Source organism: Homo sapiens, chromosome 12, assembly GCF_000001405.40.
Source record: "Homo sapiens chromosome 12, GRCh38.p14 Primary Assembly".
Lineage (NCBI taxonomy): Eukaryota > Metazoa > Chordata > Mammalia > Primates > Hominidae > Homo > Homo sapiens.
In genome coordinates, this window is record NC_000012.12 from 129,083,341 (window position 1) to 129,108,183 (window position 24,843).

At 46.5% G+C, this 24,843-nt stretch overlaps 1 protein-coding gene across 1 annotated transcript in view, besides 1 other annotated feature; it reads right to left on the reverse strand.

Annotated features, from left to right (window-relative positions):
• Nucleotides 1-24,843, reverse strand: part of TMEM132D (transmembrane protein 132D) — an 832,300-nt gene that overhangs the window by 11,615 nt on the left and 795,842 nt on the right. The window contains exon 6 of the mRNA NM_133448.3: nt 1,157-1,362. Coding sequence (NP_597705.2) covers nt 1,157-1,362 — 206 coding nt within the window. The remainder of the gene's footprint in view (nt 1-1,156; nt 1,363-24,843) is intronic.
• Nucleotides 13,886-14,055: an enhancer, noted in NCBI's record as "experimental_25393 CRE fragment used in MPRA reporter constructs". NCBI's record gives its function as "activates a minimal promoter by MPRAs in K562 erythroleukemia cells, with activity observed for both the introgressed and non-introgressed 12:129581856 variant alleles {active_cell/tissue: K562}" and the evidence as "EXISTENCE:reporter gene assay evidence [ECO:0000049][PMID:34662402]".

The window sequence follows — 24,843 nt, forward strand, 5'->3', positions numbered from 1 at the left end:
CCTCTCACACTCACTCCACTGCCATGTCTGAACCAGGCAGCTGTGACAGCGTGTGGGATGCACTGCAGTGAGACTCAGCCAGGTCTTTGGGGAATCTTCCCCTACAGTTTTTTCCCTCCGCAGCGCCAACGGTCATTCTCTAATCCACACCCTCAACTCAATACCAGAAACCCCAGAGACTGAGAAAGAATCATTGCTGAAGCCAGCTCCCAACTGTCCCTGAGACCCACAGCCTTCGTCCTTGAAGCATCCCCTCTCCCAGGGGCCATGGGACCAAAGGAATGAGCTTGCAAGGAAGGGAATATAAGTTCTCCCTCAGATAAGCCCCAATTCTCCACCCCCTGCTGAGTACACAGATTCCAGGAATATTTCCTTGTCTCATAATGCATATACTTTTAGCAATCAACATGTCCCTAATACATGAATTCTTATACACGGTTTCTCTGAGATGACAAAGTCTGTGAATGAAGAGCCTGAGCTCCTACCACTCTCTTTACATGGTACTCATGTGGTTGCCTGACGGTAGATGGTGGAGACTCCTGGGACTCTACCAAGCACCATCGGGGTAATGTACCAGACACTCAGTGGACAAGCCTCAGACCTCATTTCACCAAGGCAGAGAGCTCAGAGCTTCTGGACTGGAGCGCAGAGAGGCAGTTCAGGTCAGGTTGACCCTGTCAGATGTCCTTCCAGGGAACATCTGCTGCCTCCTCCTTTCCAGCATCAATTTTCCCTTCTCCTAGAATTTGTTCATTCGTTCAGCCTTGGTGCACCTCTTCCTCTAGCTCCTCTGGCTCTAGGTGGGGAGTCCAGCCAGCCACTCAGTGTGTTTGAGGGCCTTGGCTACAGTAACTAGATAAGGGAGGCCACAAAATCCCAGTGAGGATAAGACTTAAATTCAGGACTTTGCTGGAACTAGTGGGAAGGAGAGGAGGCACTTTCTGCTGGAGTTGCAGAGAAGAGAGGATGAAAGCCTGGAACCTCCCGAAAAACGCTGATAAAGAATGAAGCCAACACAGAGCAAATCCAAGCTGAGCGGTGGAGGGAGGCTTGGTCCTTAGGGTACCACATGCATCCTCAGACCCAGTCATGCCCAAATTTACCACCCCGTACACTTCCTCCTTAGCCTGCCATGGAGTTTCAGGGACATACCCACCTCCTGCTGGAGACGATGGGCACTCTCCAACCCTTGATCTGATTGAGCTCGGTGTCGGAGACCTCGATCTGCAGCGGAAGCCGGGGCACCCACACCGTCATCTCCAGGGGGCTGCTCAGGTGCTGGTAGGTGAAGTTCACCACCACGTTGACCTTGCCTTTCATTTCTTTCCCATTGACAAAGACGTAGTCACATCTGTCAGAAACCTGTGAAGAGGTGAGAGAGAAAAGGGGAGGGAAAGGTGAGCTTTCATCCCGTTGCATGGCCCAAGGAGGAGGAAAGGGAAGTGCCCTGGCTGGTGGAGGTGCTTCCCTTTCCTCCCCTTACTATGGGGGAGGAGGTCCTGGTATGGAGCAGACATTGGGTGTTGCTTTTGAGTAATAATAGCAGACGCTGTTATGAAAGGTGCTCTCTGAGTACCCAGGCTTCCTGGGGTCCCTGTGGCTAGGTTGGTGGACTCCTCCCCAGGGGCTGCGTGTGTTGCCGACAGCTCCTGCCACATCTTCCGTAGAAGACTGCCCTTAGGTGAGTGGAGCTGTGTCCCTCAGAGTTACCCGGGAGTTATGTCCTGCTCACCCCGCTTCTCTGCCCAGTGACTACCTGGTGGGGTGAGAAGCCCAGGCTGTTTGCCTCAAGGAGGGACCCATGCACAGCACAGCTCATTCTTAAGAGCTCCTCAAGGAGCTGGCTGTGCTGCACCTGGACCTGACCTTGCTTAGCCCCTCTTCTTCCCCTTCTACTGTCTTCACTCCCATGCGGGTGTATCCTGAGAACGTCCTCAACAGGGCATGTGCAGACCACTTTCCCCTGCAGGCACGGGGTGGATTCTGAGGCCCGTCCTGCAGAGTTCCCTAGAGGGGCTCGACGAGGCACAGGGGTGGATTCTGAGGCCTGTCCTGCAGAATTCCCTAGAGGGGCTCGATGGGACTTCACAGAAGTTGCCCACCATGCGAGCTAGCTCAATGATGCACCTCCTGCTGGTTTTCCAAAATGTGTCCTGTCTTGCTGCTCACTCCCTCATTCTGCCTCCAGAGATCATTCCCCAAATAAAGCACCTGTTCTCAAGTGCACGTCACAGGCTCCGCTTTTCAGGGAATCCAAACATGCGGATTCCTTTCATCCTCAGAACAACCACAACGCTAGGCACCACTGCCATTCCCACATTCCAGATGAGGAAGCCGGCAGGAGTGGGGGAGCCTGCCTATGTTCCTCTACCAGGAAGGGCAGAGCCAGGATTTAGCCCCAGAAGTCTGGCTCCAGAGCTCAGGCTGCCAACTTCTACCTGGTGCAAGAGGGCTCCTCCATGCCAGCGCTGATGGGAAGAAGCAAGTTCAATGTAAGGATTTTGTTCTCTTGTCTTGTCTCCTAGCTTTCCTGGGGGAAGGCAATGAGTCCTTTAGTTTTCATCCTAAACAAGAATTGGGACATGTCTTCGGGAGAGTGTGGGAGACTAAATAATAGCTCCGAAAGGTATCCACATCCTCATCCTTGGTATCTATAAACGTTACCTTACTTGTCAAAAGGTATGTGACCAAATTAAGGATCTTTTCCCCTCCCAGCTTTACTGGCAAATAAGTACTTGGCAGGTACAACTGCATCACTCTAGGCTGTACATCTACAACATGATGTTTTGATCTACATGTGTACTGTGAAATAATTACAAGTTAGCTCACATATCCATCACCTCACATAGTCACGCGCGCGCGTGTGTGTGTGTGTGTGTGTGTGTGTGTGTTGTGGTGAGGACATTTCTTAAAATTCGTATATATTTAGGGCGTCCACATGGAGTTTTGTCACATGGATATAGTGCACAGTGGTGAAGCCTGGGCTTTTAGTGTAAACATCACCCAAATAATGTACATTGTACCTCTTAAGTAATTTCTCATCCCTCAACCTCCCCCTAACCTCCAACCCTTCTGAACATCCAGTGTCTATTATTCCACACTCTTTGTCCATGTGTCCACTGTATTTAGCTCCCACTTATAAGTAAGAATAAGTGGTGTTTGACTTTCTGGCTTTGAGTTGATTCACTTCAGATAATGACCTCTAGGTTCTACTCATGTTGCTACAAAAGAGGTGATTTCATTCTTCCTTATGGCTGAAAAATATTTCATTGTATATTTATATATTGTATATTTATTGTATTATATATACATACTATATACAACATATAATATATAATACAAATTTGTATCATATATACAAACTTATATATACAATGTATATTGTATATTTATATATAGCATTATATACATTGTATATAAATTTGAAATATATATTTATGTATATTGTATATAAATGTTATGAAAAGGTAACGTGTGTATAACATGAGTGCAGGTATTTTTTCAATGTAATGATTTTTCTTTTCTTTGGGTAGATACCTGGTAGTGAGAGTGCTGGATAGAATTTTAGTTCTTTGAGAATTCTCCATACTGTTTTCCATAATTAATTTTCCATACTATGTTATATTCCCATCAATAGTGTATAAGTGTGATAACATTGAAGACCCCCTGTCTTTGCAAATCCTAAGTCTACCATACAGTATTATTAACTAGAGTAGCCATGCTATACATTAGGGCCCCATCATGTATTCAGCAGCATAACTGAAACTTTCTATCTTTGACCATCCTCTCTCCATGTCACCCACTTCCCAGCTCCTGGAAACCCCCATTCAACTTTGTTTCTGTGAGTTGGACTTTTCCCGACGTATAAGCAACGTCATGTAGGATCTGCCGTTTCGCGTCTGGTCTAGTGCACTTAGCGTCATGTCCTCCAGGTTCATCCATGTTGTTGGAAATGCTAAGATTTTTTTCTTTGTTAAGGCTGAATAGTATTCCACCGTATATATACACCACATTTTCTTTATCCATTCATCCACTGAGAGACACTTAGGTTGTTTCCAAATCTTGGCTGTTATCAGTCATTAAATTAAGGGTCTTGAGATAGATAGGGAGAGCATCCTAGATTACTTGGGTGGGCCCTAAGTGGAGTTGACTGTCCTTATAAGAGGGAGGCAGGGAGAGATTTGACTGCAGCGGGAGAAGAAGGTCCTGTGACCACAGAAACAAGACGCTGGAAGATGGAGGCAGAGGCCCAGGAAGGAAGGAGGCAACTCTGGGTGCTGGAAAACGCGAGGAAGCAGATTCCCCACTAGAGCCTCTGGAGGGAGGACAGGCCTACCGACACCTTGATGTCGGCCCAGTGGAGCTGATTTCAGACTTTCGGCCTTCAGAACTGGAAGAGAATACATGGGTGTCCACCATCTCACAAAGCTGCTGGGTTTGTGGTGTGATGGTTTGTTATTGCAGCTGCAGAAAACAAATTCCAGGAGGGGGAGAATGACACACCGCAGAGCCCCGGGGTGTCCTCCATGACCGGGTGTCCTCCCTGACCGGGGTGTCCTCCCTGACCGGGGTGTCCTCCCTGACCGGGTGTCCTCCATGACCGGGGTGTCCTCCCTGACCGGGGTGTCCTCCATGACCGGGTGTCCTCCATGACCGGGGTGTCCTCCATGACCGGGTGTCCTCCATGACCGGGGTGTCCTCTATGACCGGGTGTCCTCCATGACCGGGGTGTCCTCCCTGACCGGGTGTCCTCCCTGACCGGGGTGTCCTCCCTGACCGGGTGTCCTCCATGACCGGGGTGTCCTCCCTGACCGGGTGTCCTCCCTGACCGGGTGTCCTCCCTGACCGGGGTGTCCTCCATGACCGGGTGTCCTCCATGACCGGGTGTCCTCCATGACCGGGGTGTCCTCTATGACTGGGTGTCCTCCCTGACCGGGGTGTCCTCTATGACCGGGTGTCCTCCATGACCGGGTGTCCTCCCTGACCGGGGTGTCCTCTATGACCGGGTGTCCTCCATGACCGGGGTGTCCTCCATGACCGGGGTGTCCTCTATGACCGGGTGTCCTCCCTGACTGGGGTGTCCTCTATGACCGGGTGTCCTCCATGACCGGGTGTCCTCCATGACCGGGGTGTCCTCCATGACCGGGTGTCCTCCATGACCGGGATGTCCTCCATGACCGGGTGTCCTCTATGACCGGGTGTCCTCCCTGACCGGGTGTCCTCCCTGACCGGGTGTCCTCCATGACCGGGGTGTCCTCCATGACCGGGTGTCCTCCATGACCGGGGTGTCCTCCATGACCGGGATGTCCTCCATGACCGGGTGTCCTCCCTGACCGGGGTGTCCTCTATGACCGGGTGTCCTCCCTGACCGGGTGTCCTCCCTGACCGGGTGTCCTCCATGACCGGGGTGTCCTCCATGACCGGGTGTCCTCCATGACCGGGGTGTCCTCCATGACCGGGTGTCCTCCCTGACCGGGTGTCCTCCATGACCGGGATGTCCTCCATGACCGGGTGTCCTCCATGACCGGGTGTCCTCTATGACCGGGTGTCCTCCCTGACCGGGTGTCCTCCATGACCGGGATGTCCTCCATGACCGGGTGTCCTCCATGACCGGGTGTCCTCCCTGACCGGGATGTCCTCCATGACCGGGGTGTCCTCTATGACCGGGATGTCCTCCATGACCGGGTGTCCTCCCTGACCGGGATGTCCTCCATGACCGGGGTGTCCTCTATGACCGGGATGTCCTCCATGACCGGGGTGTCCTCCATGACCGGGGTGTCCTCTATGACCGGGTGTCCTCTATGACCGGGTGTCCTCCCTGACCGGGTGTCCTCCATGACCGGGATGTCCTCCATGACCGGGTGTCCTCTATGACCGGGTGTCCTCTATGACCGGGTGTCCTCCCTGACCGGGTGTCCTCCATGACCGGGATGTCCTCCATGACCGGGTGTCCTCTATGACCGGGTGTCCTCCATGACCGGGTGTCCTCCCTGACCGGGATGTCCTCCATGACCGGGGTGTCCTCTATGACCGGGATGTCCTCCATGACCGGGTGTCCTCCCTGACCGGGATGTCCTCCATGACCGGGGTGTCCTCCATGACCGGGGTGTCCTCTATGACCGGGTGTCCTCCATGACCGGGTGTCCTCCATGACCGGGTGTCCTCTATGACCGGGTGTCCTCCATGACCGGGTGTCCTCCATGACCGGGTGTCCTCCCTGACTGAGGTGTCTTCCCTGACCGGGGTGTCCTCCCTGACCGGGGTGTCCTCCCTGACGGGGGCCTTGCTGGTTAAGCTTAGAGGGGGATGTAAGGGGCTAGGACCCCTGCTTGTTGAGCCCCTAACACGTGTCAGGGTTGGAGGCTGAACGCGCTTCCTGCTCATCTCACCTAGTGTTCACAGCCACCCCAGCAGGCACTGTTATTGTCCTCATTTCATGGGTGAGGAACCAGAGCCCGGAGATAGAACTTTTCACCAGGACACAGGGGGCAGGGAAGGGGCGTAGACCAGATTCAGCCCAAGTGGGCGCCTGTGGCCTCCTGCTCCAGGACAGCTGTCTCTCCTGCCTGAGGGCTCTCTTGCAGTCTGCCTTTTTAGAGGATAAAAACCTCCTTTTAGCACTTAAAGGGGTGTGAGGAAAAGCACAGCAGAAATGACTTGGCTGTTCAAACATTGTAAAGAGCATTTCCTATGCAGGCCCCTTTCACCTTCACGATGAGGCAGTCAATGTATGAGAGCAGCCGCTATGAGCTTCCGTCTCCAGGGTGATCGATGGCGCTGAGGAGAAACGTGGGCCCAGGTCCGGTTAAGAGTGGGTGGTGCTTGTGTCTTCAGTATCTGCCACCAACAAAAGTCCTTAAATCTGATTGAAAAGCTGAATGGCACATGCTCCAGTGGCTTTATTATCATCTGTGGCCTGGCCACAGTTCTCCTTGCTTCAGGGGCCAGGGTGTCTTTAATATGAGGCTTTTCCTCTCTCAAGTGTTCCATTTCTAACTCAGGCTGAATCCTCATAGGTGAGCTGACTTCTCAAAAGAAAGAAAGGGGCTGGGCGCAGGCTCACACCTTTAATCCCAGCACTTGGGGAGGCCAAGGAGGAGGATCACCTGAGGTCAGGAGTTCGAGACCAGCCTGGCCAACATGGCAAAACCCCATCTCTACTAAAAATATAAAAAAAATTAGCCAGGCATGGTGGCATGCACCTGTAGTCCTAGCTATTCAGAAGGCTGAGGCAGGAGAATTGCTTGAACCCGGGAGGTGGAAGTTGCAGTGAGCCAAGATTGTGCCACTGCACTCCAGCCTAGGTGACAGAGTGAGACCCTGTCTGAAAAAAAAAGAAAAGAAAAGAAAAGAAAACGGGTTGCAGAATAGAGAAAATTGAGCCAACATTCAAAACTTTGATGATTTCAACTTAGAAATTTAGATTTCTAGCATCGCTTGAGAATTCAGACACTGGCAAAATGGGGCCTCCAATCTGACTTGGCCCTGATGGGGCAGAGTGGCACTGAGGTTTCCAGTCCTTCCCACCCCACAGTGTCTTTTTGGCCCCAGAGTTGACCAGCTTTATTTATGGTCTACCTCATCACTCTTCTAATAGAGAAATGTTTCTCTCGGGTCATGTCTCCACCCAAAAGTGGAGAAAACAGAAGGGGAGGGAGCCGTGTGTTTCCAAGACAATTCGGAAAGGGTACATTGCTTTATGAAAGGGAAGAAAATTCCTGTGCGTCTCCTAGGCAAATATAGAATGTCATTGTCTAATGAACACAACTGAAGATGCCATTATGATATTCCGTCAGGCTGGTCTCTGAAGACCTTACTTATGCTCACCTGGGCTCTGGGAATCTTACCTCAGTTTACCTGGGCTCTGGGGACCTTACTTCCGTTCACTTGGGCTCTGGAGACCCTACCTAAGTTCCCCTGGGCTCTGGGGACCCTTCCTAAACTCACATGGTCTCTGGGGACCTTATATAGGCTCACAAGGGCTCTGAGGACCTTACCTATCCTCACCTGGGCTCTGGGGACCCTTCCTAAGCTCACATGGTCTCTGGGGACCTTATATAAGCTCACATGGGCTCTGAGGACCTTACCTATCCTCTCCTGGGCTCTGGGGACCTTACCTATGCTCAGCTGGGCTCTGGAGACCTTACCTATGCTCACCTGGGCTCTGGAGACCTTACCTATGCTCACCTGGGCTCTGGGGACTTTACCTAAGCTCATCTCAGCTCTGGAGAGCTTACCTATCCTCACCTGGGCTCTGGAGACCCTACCTATCCTCACTTGGGCTCTGGGGTCCTTACCTACCCTCACCTGGGCTCTGAGGACCTTACCTATCTCACCTGGACTCTGGAGATCTTACCTAAACTCAAATAGGCTCTTGGGACCCAGGTTCCTGAGCCTAGGTGAGCTTAAGAAGACACAAGCCTAGTCCCCCATGAGTGGACCTGGCCCCAACTCCATCCTGGTCTGGAGAGACAATCTGAGATGTGTTCCTCCAACAGCTGGATGGAGCAGAACTTCTTCCAGCATTCTGACATTCATCCTTGCCTTCATAGCTCTGTTCATTGCATTAGATTGTTAGACATTCCAAACTCCCCCTCTGGGAGATGAACTGGAGAAATGTAATGGTCTAGGTGAGCCGGCAAGATCTGTCATTACTTCTCGTTAAAATATGACTAACTGTACATGTCATATAATTTATTAACTACCACATTACAATGCTGATGGTTTGAAGGGATGATCTATTAAAACTCTTGAACCCCTTTCATAATCCATTTCCAGCCAGTCACACTGTTCCGTTATAGGGATATAGTTAATATTTCTGACTCTGGTGTGCATAATCCGGCACTTATGTGAATTTAATGCCATTTCCTTCTTTTCTGTTTAAATGCTGTATGAATTTAAATCTTATTTAAATATCACCAACATTCTTGGTTAAATTTATGTTCTAATATTTCTCTCTTTCCTTTTTTTTTTTTTTTTGTTCAAGAGCTACAGCTACAGTTGTTGAAATTCTGTCTTTTTTTCCCCTCAAACTTTGCAGAAGTAGACATCCTACAGGAATGCTTGCATCCAATTCTCAAGTTAGGTAGCACCTTTTTGTGCTTAGTCTCTGTCTTGGATTAAAAATGTGGATCACCTGAGGTCAGGAGTTCGCGACCAGCCCGGCCAACATGGTGAAACCTGTCTCTATTAAAAATACAAAAAAATTAGCCAGGCTTGGTGGCGGCGCCTGTAATCCCAGCTACTTGGGAGGCTGAGGAAGGAGAATCGCTTGAACTCAGGAGGCGGAGGTTGCAGTGAGCTGAGACTCGCGCCATTTTACTCCAGCCTGGGCAACAAGAGCGAAACTATGTCTCAAAAAAGAAAGATAACATTAATAATAGTGGTAACAATAATAGTAGTGGCTAATATTCATTGTTTGCTACATGCAAGGTACTGTACTGAATGTCAATAACTTCTTCCACTTAATCCTCACAACATATCTATTAGATTGGTACCCTTACCCCCATTTGCCAGATAAGAACATTGAAGCTCAGTGTCCTATAGCCATGAGGGGCCTGCCACACTGGGCTAATCAGAGAAGAACTTTAGCTCATTATACTAGGCTTATTTATTGGAAAACAACTTTCCCTAACTCAGGTATATTTGTTAATGAACAACACACCCTTTTCTGTCAAGAGATAAGCAAGTTTTAAATGGACGCACTGGAGGACACACTGGACACAGTTCCAAATGGATGCCATGCAGGACATGCTGGACCAGTTTCAAATGGATTTACTAGACTGGAAGAGGATGTGCAGGGACATGCCACAGATGGGCTTCGGGTCAGCAGGGATGCTCCATGTACAGAGGGAAAAACAGGCAACTTGAGCCTATTGTGGGCTGAATTTGGTCCCCTCCCTAAATTCTGTTTGCAGATGACATGATTGTATATCTAGAAAACCCCATCGTCTCAGCCCAAAATCTCCTTAAGCTGATAAGCAACTTCAGCAAAGTCTCAGGATACAAAATCAATGTACAAAAATCACAAGCATTCTTATACACCAATAACAGACAAACAGAGAGCCAAATCATGAGTGAACTCCCATTCACAATTGCTTCAAAGAGAATAAAATACCTAGGAATCCAACTTACAAGGGATGTGAAGGATCTCTTCAAGGAGAACTACAAACCACTGCTCAATGAAATAAAAGAGGATGCAAACAAATGGAAGAACATCCCATGCTCATGGGTAGGAAGAATCAATATCGTGAAAATGGCCATACTGCCCAAGGTCATTTATAGATTCAATGTCATCTCCATCAAGCTACCAATGACTTTCTTCGCAGAATTGGAAAAAACTACTTTAAAGTTCATATGGAACCAAAAAAGAGCCCGCATCACCAAGTCAATCCTAAGCCAAAAGAATGAAGCTGGAGGCATCACACTACCTGACTTCAAACTATACTACAAGGCTACAGTAACCAAAACAGCATGTACTGGTACCAAAACAGAGATATAGACCAATGGAACAGAACAGAGCCCTCAGAAATGCCGCATATCTACAACTATCTGATCTTTGACAAACCTGATAAAAACAAGCAATGGGGAAAGGATTCCCTATTTAATAAATGGTGCTGGGAAAACTGGCTAGCCATATGTAGAAAGCTGAAACTGGATCCCTTCCTTACACCTTATACAAAAATTAATTCAAGATGGATTAAAGACTTAAATGTTAGACCTAAAACCATAAAAACCCTAGAAGAAAACCTAGGCTTTACCATTCAGGACATAGGCATGGGCAAGGACTTCATGTCTAAAACACCAAAAGCAATGGCAGCAAAAGCCAAAATTGACAAATGGAATCTAATTAAACTCAAGAACTTCTGCACAGCAAAAGAAACTACCATCAGAGTGAACAGGCAACCTACAGAATGGGAGAAAGTTTTTGCAATCTACCCATCTGACAAAGGGCTAATATCCAGAATCTACAATGAACTCAAACAAATTTACAAGAAAAAATCAAACAACCCCATGAAAAAGTGGGCAAAGGATATGAACAGACACTTCTCAGAAGAAAACATTTATGCAGCCAAAAGACACATGAAAAAATGCTCACCATCACTGGCCATCAGAGAAATGCAAATCAAAACCACAATGCGATACCATCTTACACCCGTTAGAATGGTGATCATTAAAAAGTCAAGAAACAACAGGTGCTGGAGAGGATGTGGAGAAATAGGAACACTTTTACACTGTTGGTGGGACTGTAAACTAGTTCAACCATTGTGGAAGTCAGTGTGGTGATTCCTCAGGGATCTAGAGCTAGAAATACCATTTGACCCAGCCATCCTATTACTGGGTATATACCCAAAGGATTATAAATCATGCTGCTATAAAGACACATGCATACGTATGTTTATAGCGGCACTATTCACAATAGCAAAGACTTGGAACCAAGCCAAATGTCCAACAATGATAGACTGGATTAAGAAAATGTGGCACATATACACCATGGAATACTATGCAGCCATAAAAAAGGATGAGTTCATGTCCTTCGTAGGGACATGGATGAAACTGGAAACCACCATTCTCAGCAAACTATCGCAAGGACAAAAAACCAAACACCGCATGTTCTCACTCATAGGTGGGAATTGAACAATGAGAACACATGGACACAGGAAGGGGAACATCACACACCAGGGCCTGTCGTGGGGTCGGGGGAGGGGGGAAGGATAGCATTAGGAGATATATCTAATGCTAAATGAAGAGTTAATGGGTGCAGCCCACCAACATGGCGCATGTATACATATGTAACTAACCTGCATGTTGTGCACATGTACCCTAAAACTTAAAGTATAATAATAATAAAATTTAAAAAAAAAGGATGAATAGATAAAAATGTCTTCACGTGGAAAAAAAATTCAAATGAATCTGACTGTATTTGGAGGCAGGGTCTTTATAGGGGTGCTTAAGTAAAAATGAGGTCACTAACATAGGCCCCTAACACCACAATATGCCTGCTGGTTTTTTTTTTTTTTTTTTTTTGAGACGGAGTCTCACTCTGTCACCCAGGCTGGAGTGGAGTGAAGTGGTGCGATCTTGGCTCACTGCAACCTCTGCCTCCCAGGTTCAAGCAGTTCTCCTGCCTCAGCCTCCCAAGTAGGAACTACAGGTGAGCATCACCACAACCGGCTAATTTTTGTATTTTTAGTAGAGATGGGGTTTTGCCATGTTGGCCAGGCTGATCTCAAACTCCTGACCTCAGGTGATCTGCCTGCCTAGGCCTCCCAAAGTGCTGGGATTATAGGTGTGAGCCACTGTGCCTGGCCTGGTTTCCTTTTAAGAAGAAGAGATCGGGGCATCAGGGCACACAGGGTAGAGAGACACCAGGGATGCACAGGGGAACGGTCATGGGAGAACACAGTGAGAAGCAGCTGCCCCCAGGCCAGGGAGAAACCAAACCCGCACACACCTAATCTCTGACTTCCAGCATCTGCAACTGTGAGAAAATGAAGCTCTGTTGTGTAAGCCACCTGCTCCTTGGTATTTTTTTTGATGGGAACCCTAGGAAACTGCAATCAACTGTGCAGATAAATACAGTCAGCCATTCAGTCCCTAGAGCCTGCTTTCCTATTCCAGGAGGAAGTTGCCAGCCTGCATGGAGAGGAGGCTAGCTGGGAACCCAGGGGAGAGCCAGCTCCTGGTGGGGGCTTCATAGATCAGAGGTGTTAAAGCTGCCATCGAGGACAACTGTCTACCTGGCAGCCTTCCCAGGTATGCACATGCAGTGAGTTGTTTGATTGTGACAGTAACCCAGCAAGGTAGGCATTATTACAATCCCCACTGTGCAGATGAGAAACTGAGGCGCGATGAGATTAGGTGACTTATTAAAGTTCACACAGCTAGGATGCCTTGGATCTGGGATTGGAATCCAGGCCGGTCTGGGTCCCGAGTCGGCCGTCATATGCCTCACATGCCACAGTGGGATCGTGAGGTCTCTGGGGAGCAGAGGCTGAGACAGAAGGTCCATTAGGCCGTGATATCTGTGAAGGAGGAAGGGAAGGACCCAGGATGGCAGCGGGAGCTCTTGGATCAAGAGGAAGACCCAACAACATTTCTGCCAACTCACCGGAGGGGTCTGGAGCAAAGACTGGGTGTTCAGGGAGGAGCCCCACTTTGGTGAAAGTGGCCAGACCCTTGAACCACCATCTTTGTCAATAGCTGGGGCTATCTGAAAAAGAGCGGGACTCAGCTCAAAACACAGGGACCCCAAGGAGTTAAGCGCTGGGGGCTGCCTGCTACCAGCACTCCTTGAGGCTGAGTGACAGTGCTTTCTGGAAGAAAGTCTGAGTCTCTTTCCCCGTCAGCCACAGTGGGCCTCTTAGTTATGACATGGAACAGGGATATTCTGGAGTTTTTGGAGTCATCTATACCAGAAGATTCCATATATAGTCCATATTCTATAGCCTATTTTCTTCTAAAATCAGAAATTCAAATTCCCAGGAAGCTCTGTTATTTTTAAATGAAAACAGAACATTTTTACACAACCTCAAATTTCCACTTTCAGTCCTTTCCTGGGTCAGAGGAAATAATGCATTCGGTGAATGTTCTCTTTTCTTTGTCCTCAAAACCGTCCATGTGGCCTGGGTCATAAGATCTCAGTTGTCTTCTCACAGTCACTGATGAGCAGTCTGATAGGAAATCATTTTAATAACAAGCCACCCAAGCCGCTCTTGCCACGTGCCAGGTGCTGGTCCTGGCCAGGGTTTCTCTGCCCCTGCCCTGTCCACATTTGGGGCTGGAGAGTTCTTTGCTGTAGGAGGCTATCCAGGGCAGTGTAGGCTGCTGAGCAGCACCCCTGGCCTCCACCTCCAGATGCCAGTAGCATCCCTCTCTCCAGCGGTGACGACCAACAGTGTCTCCGGACATTGCTAAAGAACCCCTGGGCGGCAAGAGCACCCCCGGTTGAGAACCAGTATTCTCAGCCCTGTTTGTAAATGTATTTGTTTAAGCCCCATGACACAGCTTTTATGACTCTCTGTTAGACAGATGAGGGGACTCTCTAAATGAATGCACATTCTCTGTATGTTTCTTTTTCTTTCTTAAAAAAACAAACATATTTATGAACATTTACATCGCCTATATCCATAGAAGAAACTTAGGAATGAGTAACTCAAAGAGATGACTAAAATTTGAGTATATGTAGCATCTTCCACAAAGAACAATAATTTTATAGAGAAATAACAGGAGAAGGGAAATGGCCTTAGGCCTCCAATGGTTGAGAAACTACAGAAAGGTAAATATATGGGGGAAACTCATGGAGAAATGTTTGTTTGCAGATTTTTTCTGTGTCAACTCTGGGCTAATCATAGTCTAGAGTTATCTCCAGTAAAGGAGAGTTTATATTGTCCATTTACGTAGAAAAGGAGAGGGTAGACAGAACTTTTCCTCCCTTTGTTTCTTATTAATCACGTTTAACTCAACATAATTCTTATGTCAAAAACACATATTTTTGGGTAACATTCTGGTTCCCTTCAAGCTGAAAGCTTGTATTCACAAACAAAAACTGCATACGCAGAAGTGTTTAATTTTAATAAAGTCCAGGGAATCAATTCTTTCTTTCATGGATTACACCTTTGGTGTTGTATCTGGAAAGTCATCACCAAACACGATGATATCTAGAATTTCTCCTATGTTATCTTCTAGGAATTTTATCATTTTGCATTTTTACATTTAGTTCTGTGGCCCACTTTAAGTTAGTTTTTGTGAGGACACAACCCAGAAGAATAAGATCAGAGGACTGACGTGACTCAAGTTCAAGACTGCCTGGAAAACCGTAATAGCCAAGACAATGTGGCATTGCTGAAGGAATAGGTAAATTGATGAATAAGACAGAAAAGAGAGCTCAGAAACAGACCTGCATAAATGTGGCCAACTGATCGTTGACAAAGGAGTAAAGGCAACTCAATGAAACCAAAGTCTTTGACAGCCTTTTCAGTAAGTGGTGCTGGAACAACTGGGCACCAAAATTCGTAAGAATGATAGTGATGATGATGATGAGATGATCACAGAGCTTGCATTCTCATGTATTTTGCTTTTTCAAACCATGCAGTGACAAATGTCCTCGTGCCTACCTACTCGGGCACAGATGCCTTTTTTTCTAGGGTCTCTACCAAGAAATGAGTCTTACAGTAAGATAAGGCAGTATTTTAATTCCACTAACTCCACTGTCCTTCACAACAGCCCTGTGAGGTTGGTGTTATTACATCTCCATTTCTTCTAGATAAAGAACCTTGAGACTCTGGGAGGTGAACGTATGTGGTAGACTGCATTTTCCAAAGATGGCCACAACAGTCTCTCCTGCCTGCTCACGTCCTCGCCAAAGTGACCTTATTACATCTCCACTGGAGAGGTGGAGTCTAATGCCCTTGCCTTGAATCTGGGCTGGCCTTAGTGAGTTGCTTGTGTTGAGGTTCAGAAACCAACATCTCAAAATATGTTCCCTTGACATGCTGAACTGAATAAGCAGCCTCAAGGTCTCTCTGACCTTCCAACCATCACCCTCCTACCCTCTCTTAATCCTCTGTCTCCCTTAAAGCACAGGATAAAGTTCTCTGAGGTTCCCTTTTCTGCCTAAAATCTGGACCCCACAGGAAGAAAACAATGGCCTCTGGTGCCTTCTCTGAGTTTTTATCCACTGAATTCATATTGCAGGAAGAAAGATGGAAATCTGTCAACACAGCCGGATAGACTTTTGTCACAAAGCATTTCCTGCTGTGCAGGCCCTACAGACTTTGCCCCAGGCCACTGCCCATTCCTCAAGCCCATTGAATTTCTCTAAAAATCATTTACTACCCCTCTAAAATCATCCACATTCTCCCATCTTCCTTTCCCCTAAGAAGAGGGGTATATAACTGTCTGTACACCTTATTGCGTCAGGTTGGGGTAACAACTCTGTGATTTTCTCTCCATGCACACTGATTAATTTTTATGCCATTTCTCCTATTAACCTGCCATTTTTGAGTTGATTTTTTAGCAAAACTTCAGAGGGCAAAGGAGAAGCTTTCCTTTGGCCCTCTGCACTCAGCCAACAGAATTTGACAGAAGTCTGAGCTTTCTGGTGCCAGGTCACAAAAAAACCTCCCACCTATGCTCCTGGAACACTAGCCCTTCAGATGCCCCCTCACAGAAGCCAGCCTCTGTGTCATGGGAAGCCCAGGCCAGACTGAGGAGCCACATGTGGACCCTTCAGCCCACCAACAGCAACTGCTGTTCACACGGGTGGCCGTGTTGAACATCAGCACAGTTCCACCTCCAGACGGCTCTATGCAGTCTGCAGGAAAATGAAGGAACACAGGAATTCTCAGCAGATGCAGGTCAAGAACACCTTCTTCCATGTTCAGTCCCACCTTGGCAGAAATCTGCAACATCCTGGAAAGGACAGATGTTGCATTCCATTAAAAGTGGGAGCGAAACCCACTTTATTTTTTTTTATTTTTTTTATTTTTATTTTTATTTTTTGAGACGGAGTCTCGCTCTGTCGCCCAGGCTGGAGTGCAGTGGCAGGATCTCGGCTCACTGCAAGCTCCGCCTCCCGGGTTCACGCCATTCTCCTGCCTCAGCCTCCCAAGTAGCTGGGACTACAGGTGCCCGCCACTACGCCCGGCTAATTTTTTGTATTTTTAGTAGAGACGGGGCCACTTTATTTTTTATTTAATTTTATTATCTTTTTTTTTGGGACAGAGTCTCGCTCTGTCACCCAGGCTGGAGTGCAGTGGCACGATCTTGGCTCACTGCAACCTCCACCTCTCCGGTTCAAGCAATTCTCCTGCCTCAGCCTCCTGAGTATGTGGAATTGCAGGCACCTACCACCACCCCTGGCTAATTTTTTGTATTTTTAGTAGAGACAGGGTTTCACCATGTTAGCCAGGCTGGTAACTCCTGACCTCAGGTGATCCACCTGCCTTGGCCTTCCCAAGTGCTGGGATTACAGGTGTGAGCCACCGTGCATGGCCAAACCCACTTTAATTAGGTCATTGAAGGTCAAGGTGACCCCAGCAAGTTGCAGAAGACTTGGAGAGCGTCTGAGAGGCTGACGGGTTGGCTCCAGGCCATGCCTCATGGTGATCTGAGGTCAGTTCAGAGAATCTCCACCGTGGGTTTTTATGTCTGACTGATGCAGTGCAGTCAGCTGAGGATGGCAGTGAATGTGCAGAACTTATCTTTCTGTCTTTCCGAGGACAAAGTTACTGTAAAAAATCAGCCAGCCCAATTCTATCTTCCAGCAATGCTTGACATATAATAAGGCCTCAATAATTTTTTTCTGGAGTGAATGAAAGTATTGCCCATGTCTTACAGATGAGGCAGCTGAGGCTAAGTGACTTGGATAAGCCATCTTGCTGGTTCCGTAGAGGTCTCCTGATGTAAAAAGCCTCATTAGTTAAGAAAACTATCATCTAAGACTCCCTTGGCCAGTAACTTTCTTTTATGCAAAGAGAAAAGGTCAATTTACAACTAAACCTAAATGAAATGGAATTCAAATGGTCAGGGTCAAATCCTGGGGGGAGGCACTGAGGAAAGGACAGCTGTCTGGGGGTCGGTGGCAGGGACTGAAGCTGAGCAGCACCAGGCGGTGGCAGGGATTGAAGCTCTGCAGTGCCAGTCAAGGCAGGGATCGAAGCTCTGTGGCACCAGTTGATGGCAGGGTCTAAGCTTTGCAGCGCTAGGCGGTGGCAGGGATCTAAGCTCTGCAGTGCAGTCGGCGGCAGAGATTGAAGCTCTGTGGCACCAGTTGATGGCAGGGGTCTAAGCTTTGCAGTGCCAGTTAATGGCAGGGATCTAAGCTCTGTGGTGCCAGTCGGTGGCAGGATCTAAGCTCTGCAGTGCCCATGGCCCATTGGTTCATCCTGGCCGAGCCTCCAACAAACAGCCCCGTGCAGCTTCTTTGCCTCGAGCATTTGTCGATTTGCCAATTCCTGTAGTATAAACGCTCGTGATTTCATGCCGCCAACCCAAAGTCACTGAATGCAGAGCTGGGAAGAGATGTGCCACCATGGCTTTTGGTAGCTGGTATGACCAGCTCAGTGGTCTCCAGTTACTGGAGTCCCCACCATTCCCTCTTGTCTTGCCACCAGCACTTGAATTTGCAGCCCCTGGAGATGTGAGCACCAAGCAAGAAAAGAATCAACAACCCCAGCTGGCTCCAAATCCAGCATTCCAGGTTAAAACACTATCTACAAGAGGAAACTGAAACTCCTCACAGTCAGAGCTACACTCTACGTTTCCCGAGGTTGCTTAGTTACTAAGCTGCAGATCTCGGGTTTGGAGGCAGGCTTTCTGGCGGAGGCTTTCTCACTCCAAGGTAGTTGCTTGTTTCATTACCTGATGCTGTTTTTTATTTTTTCTACCTAGGCTGTGACAGTTCATTTATCATATATTCCAGGGACAATGGCATTTGTACTGATAGTGGAATCGTAGAAAATAGGAGGAAAAACACTGACAGCAACCGAGGTCCTTTGACGTATTTCGGACTATAAATAAAAACAATTAGATGCAAACAATATTTTTGAAAATATAGAGAAACCACCAGTCTTTTGGACTCCATGATTCATAATCCCCCGCTTCTCTGTGTAGATGATCAAATTTGTGATTCAAAGCTGCTGTTTTTTTTTTTTTTTCTCTCTCTCTCTCTTCATGGAATGGAATGAAAATGGAAACAAGCCAGGTCTGTGACAGCCTAGACACTTGGGGAGTGAGATGGAGAAGGTGGCAGAGATGACCCTTGCCTGGGTATTTTTTAGTCCATTTCCCTCTGTGCTGTTGGTACCTTTCTAATCCCCAAGGAGCACAAAGGAAAGTAAACGAGGCTGCATTCATGAATCAGGCCAGTGAACTGGCAAATGAGTCTTGCGTACGCAGAGACTCACTCTTCTCTTTCTGAGCCTGCTGGAAAAACACCCTTACCTTTAATCACACACATACACATGCACACACGTGTACACACTTACACATGCACACACATGCATTCACATATGTACGCATGCACACAAGCACATGCAGACACATGCATACACACACAATGCACACATGCACGCACACTCGCACACTGGCATATGCACATACACACATGCAGGCACATGCATACACATGTACTCACACAATGCACACACACACACTTGCATATGCACGCACACACGCACACACACAACACACACACACATGCACACACATACACACATGTATGGATAAAAATATAGATAAAGAGGAAAAACTGGAAACCTCAAAAAAATCTCTAAATGGACTGATGTTTCTTCTGCTACCAGGTGTTGAATTTTGTTTCTCCTTTTGCTAAAACTTTCTCTAAGCCTAATACTCCTTGGAAACAAAACCCACAATCCACTCTGCTGAAGATCTTTTTCTTTTCTTTGGGATCATAAAATATTCTCGACCCTGAACCAGCTGCAAAAGTGAAGATGAAGTTAATACATGCTTCATATTTGGCCCAAATGTCCACTTTCCTGTTTACAGCCCTTGAAGCTTTTGCAGAATCCAGGCTATGCTCTTGGGAAGATAGAGGCTGCATTGCCCAGCACATTTAGGGTAACCAGAAGCAGAGTGTGGCAGCACAGGGGAACAACAATTATTGAATTTTGTTTTGTAGAAATGAGACACAGGAGGCATACATATCAGCACATTTACGAAAGTAAACATCGTGGAAGGCAGTTATTGTCTCTGAGCTCCAAATCCACCCTTCCATGCTCTGTTTTGTGACCCTACAAAATCAGCATATGTTTGATTTACCAGCTGTTTTCTTGTAGGCTCTTCCAGTGAGGGAAATTAGAAGGAGGCCTCCAGGCTGGAGGAAGAGGAGGGATTTGCTCCTTCATCTCTTCTTCCTGGGCTCCTTGTCTTCTTGCTGTTCCCATGAGCATTAGGACAGTAATGCTTCACCCCACAGCATCAGTTCCTTCCCACAGCAGCAACTGGATCCAGTTCACAGTGTCTCCAGCACTTGCAGAACCAGGCTCATTTCACTCCCTCATGGACAATACCATCAGCCAGCCCATGCCCCCACCTCGGAGGCCTGGCTTCCACGCCCAGATTTGGAGGAGCCAGCAACAGCTGAGCAGCAAGCTCTCCTTGGAGGGAGCCCCATCCAGACACACAGGGCATCCATAAGCTTCCAAGTTGGGATAATTCCAACCTACTCTTTGTTCCTTCAGCAGCCGGGATGATGGCTGCTTTATGCATCAGGTTCCAGAGTGTCACCCAGGCCTCTGCTTTCCCTCCTGACCTCGTGATCTGCCCACCTCAGCCTCCTAAAGTGCTGGGATTACAGGCGTGAGCCACCACGCCTGGCCTAGGTAACCATCTTTATGCTAAAATATCTCCGTACAAAATCACAAGCATTCCTATACACCAACAACAGACAAACAGAGAGCCAAATCATGAGTGAACTCCCATTCACAATTGCTTCAAAGAGAATAAAATACCCAGGAATCCAACTTACAAGGGAGGTGAAGGACCTCTTCAAGGAGAACTACAAACCACTGCTCAAGGAAATAAAAGAGGATACAAACAAATGGAAGAACATTCCATGCTCGTGGGTAGGAATAATCAATATCTTGAAAATGGCCATACTGCCCAAGGTAATTTACAGATTCAATGCCATCCCCATCAAGCTACCAATGCCTTTCTTCACAGAATTGGAAAAAACTACTTTAAAGTTCATATGGAACCAAAAAAGAGCCTGCATCGCCAAGTCAATCCTAAGCCAAAAGAACAAAGCTGGAGGCATCCCACTACCTGACTTCAAACTATACTACAAGGCTACAGTAACCAAAACAGCATGGTACTGGTACCAAAACAGAGATATAGACCAATGGAACAGAACAGAGCCCTCAGAAATAACGCCGCATATCTACAACTATCTGATCTTTGACAAACCTGACAAAAACAAGCAATGGGGAAAGGATTCCCTATTTAATAAATGGTGCTGGGAAAACTGGCTAGCCATATGTAGAAAGCTGAAACTGGATCCCTTCTTTACACCTTATACAAAAATCAATTCAAGATGGATTAAAGACTTAAATGTTAGACCTAAAACCATAAAAACCCTAGAAGAAAGCCTAGGCTTTACCATTCAGGACATAGGCATGGGCAAGGACTTCATGTCTAAAACACCAAAAGCAATGGCAACCAAAGCCAAAATTGACAAATGGGATCTAATTAAACTCAAGAGCTTCTGCACAGCAAAAGAAACTACCATCAGAGTAAACAGGCAACCTACAAAATGGGAGAAAATTTTCACAACCTACTCATCTGACAAAGGGCTAATATCCAGAATCTACAATGAACTCAAACAAATTTACAAGAAAAAAACAAACAACCCCATCAAAAAGTGGGCGAAGGACATGGACAGACACTTCTCAAAAGAAGACATTTATGCAGCCAAAAAACACATGAAAAAATGCTCATCATCACTGGCCATCAGAGAAATGCAAATCAAAACCACAATGAGATACCATCTTACACCAGTTAGAATGGCAATCATTAAAAAGTCAGGAAACAACAGGTGCTGAAGAGGATGTGGAGAAATAGGAACAGTTTTACACTGTTGGTGGGACTGTAAACTAGTTCAACCATTGTGGAAGTCAGTGTGGCGATTCCTCAGGGATCTAGAACTGGAAATACTATTTGACCCAGCCATCCCATTACTGGGTATATACCCAAAGGACTATAAATCATGCTGCTATAAAGACACATGCACACGTATGTTTATTGCAGCATTATTCACGATAGCAAAGACTTGGAACCAACCCAAATGTCCAACAATGATAGACTGGATTAAGAAAATGTGGCACATATACACCATGGAATACTATGCAGCCATAAAAAAGGATGAGTTCATGTCCTTTGTAGGGACATGGATGAAATTGGAAATCATCATTCTCAGTAAACTATCGTAAGAACAAAAAACCAAACACCGCATATTCTCACTCACAGGTGGGAATTGAACAATGAGAACACATGGACAAAGGAAGGGGAACATCACACTCTGGGGACCGTTGTGGGGTGGGGGGAGGGGGGAGGGATAGCATTGGGAGATATACCTAATGCTAGATGACGAGTTAGTGGGTGCAGCGCACCAGCATGGCACATGTATACATATGTAACTAACCTGCACAATGTGCACATGTACCCTAATACTTAAAGTATAATAATAATAAAAAAAAAGAAAAAAAAAAGAAAAAAACAAACAACCCCATCAAAAAGTGGCCGAAGGACATGAACAGACAATCCTCAAAGGAAGACATTTATGCAGCCAAAAAACACATGAAAAAATTCTCACCATCACTGGCCATCAGAGAAATGCAAATCAAAACCACAATGAGATACCATCTCACACCAGTTAGGATGGCAATCATTAAAAAGTCAGGAAACGACAGGTGCTGGAGAGGATGTGGAGAAATAGGAACAGTTTTACACTGTTGGTGGGACTGTAAACTAGTTCAACCATTGTGGAAGTCAGTGTGGCGATTCCTCAGGGATCTAGAACTAGAAATACCATTTGACCCAGCCATCCCATTACTGGGTATATACCCAAAGGACTATAAATCATGCTGCTATAAAGACACATGCACATGTATGTTTATTGTGGCACTATTCACGATAGCAAAGACTTGGAACCAACCCGAATGTCCAACAATGATAGACTGGATTAAGAAAATGTGGCACATATACACCATGGAATACTATGCAGCCATAAAAAATGATGAGTTCATGTCCTTTGTAGGGACATGGATGAAATTGGAAATCATCATTCTCAGTAAACTATCGTAAGAACAAAAAACCAAACACCGCATATTCTCACTCACAGGTGGGAATTGAACAATGAGAACACATGGACAAAGGAAGGGGAACATCACACTCTGGGGCCTGTTGTGGGAGGGCGGAGGGGGGAGGGATAGCATTGGGAGATATACCTAATGCTAGATGACGAGTTAGTGGGTGCAGCGCATCAGCATGGCACATGTATACATATGTAACTAACCTGCACATTGTGCACATGTACCCTAAAACTTAAAGTATAATAATAATAAAATAAAAAATAAAAATAAAAATAAATGCAATCCCTATCAAAAAAAAGTTAAAAAATAAAAAAATAGAATATCTCTGTACAAATGACTGATGCAGATTCTGTCTCTTGATTATACTCTGATGAATACAATGGAAACTGCCATTAGCAGGTGCAGTCACCATACCTGAAAGACGTTTGTGGGCTTGGGAGAAGGTTGAGAATGACCAGGCACAGATCTCCTCCCACTTTCCTCCCCTTCTTGGGCAGATTGGAGGAGGGCAGGCTCTGCCTCCTTAAGTGTGGTATGGTCGTGTGGCGTGCTCTGGCCAATGACGTGGGAGTAGAAGCGATGGGTGTCACCTCTGATTGGAAACACTTAAGAGCCAGTGCACACTCTTCTTGTCTCCTTCTCCTGCCCAGGAGGCCCATGATGTAGGTGCCTCAATATGAAGGCCATCTGGGATGCTGAGCCGTCACTGCATGGGGAATGCCTGCCTTGGACAGTCACCACTGCTGTCTTTGCCTGAACAATAGAGGCATGTTGTGGAAGGATGCTGAGATTCTGGTGCTGTTTGTTACCTCAGCATCCCCTAACTGATCCTGACTAATTGAGATGGCAGGCAAGACCTTAGCCGTTTTGTTTATCTACTGTATCATCTAGAACAGTGCTTGGCATATAGTAGGCACACAAGAAAGAGGTGATGAATGAATGGATAAAAGTGAGAATTCATGTGCAAGAGCTCTAATAGGAAAGATGAAATGGCACCAAATTTCTGAAACCATAACAAGAGAAAAACAAACAGAAAGTTTCTGAAACCAGTGGTTCTCAGTCCTATCAGATATGATATCTCCAATGCTAAATGAATGTTTTAAAGCTCCCCTTTTAGAACACTGAAATGGAATTCACAGATAATGTCACGTACATACAAGGTAATTTTATTAAGATTAATATAATGCTCTAACTGGATATCAAATCAAGTAAAATGCACTTGTAATTTAATGATATATATTTCAACATGCCGTTTGAGCATGACCACGTGAGAAAACATCTCTTCACAGTCATTGTAAATGATGCAGATTGAATGCAGGTTGACACTTAGTAGCTGCTGAAGACATTTTCCAGTGTGGGGAAGAACTCTCTATAAAGTTATAACAAAGACAAAATATTCCCTGATTAACCCTGAGTTTACATTTGTGAAAAATTCATGGTTCTGCATATTAAACTACAGTGCAGATAACTACAGCTTTCCCCTCTAGTTTGATGGGAAATTTACAAGTTGTGAATGACACAGAGCAGTTTTTTTGAGACAGTCTCACTCTGTCACCCAGGCTGAAGTGCAGTGGCACAATCATAGTTCACTGAAGCCTTGACCTCCTGGGCTCAAGCAATACCCCCACCTCATCCTCCTGAGTAGCTGGGACTACAGGTGTGCACCACCACACCTGGCTAATTTTTTTTTTTTTTTTATTTGTAGAGATGGAGTTTCACCATGTTGCCCAGGCTGGTCTGGAACTCATGGACTCAAGTGATCCTCCTGCCTCAGCCTCCCAAAGTGCTAGCATTACAGGTGTGAGCCACTATACCCGTCCAGAACACAGGACAATTCTTTGTCACAAGAGCCTGTCCTGGACATTGCAGGGCATTTAGTACTTCTGACTTCTGACCATGAAATGCAAGAATATGCCTTGATCCTTGCAAAAAATAATCACTCCTGAAAATGTGCCAGACACTTACATGGTGTGGGGACAGTTATGTCCCTACTGAGATCTGTGGCTCTAAA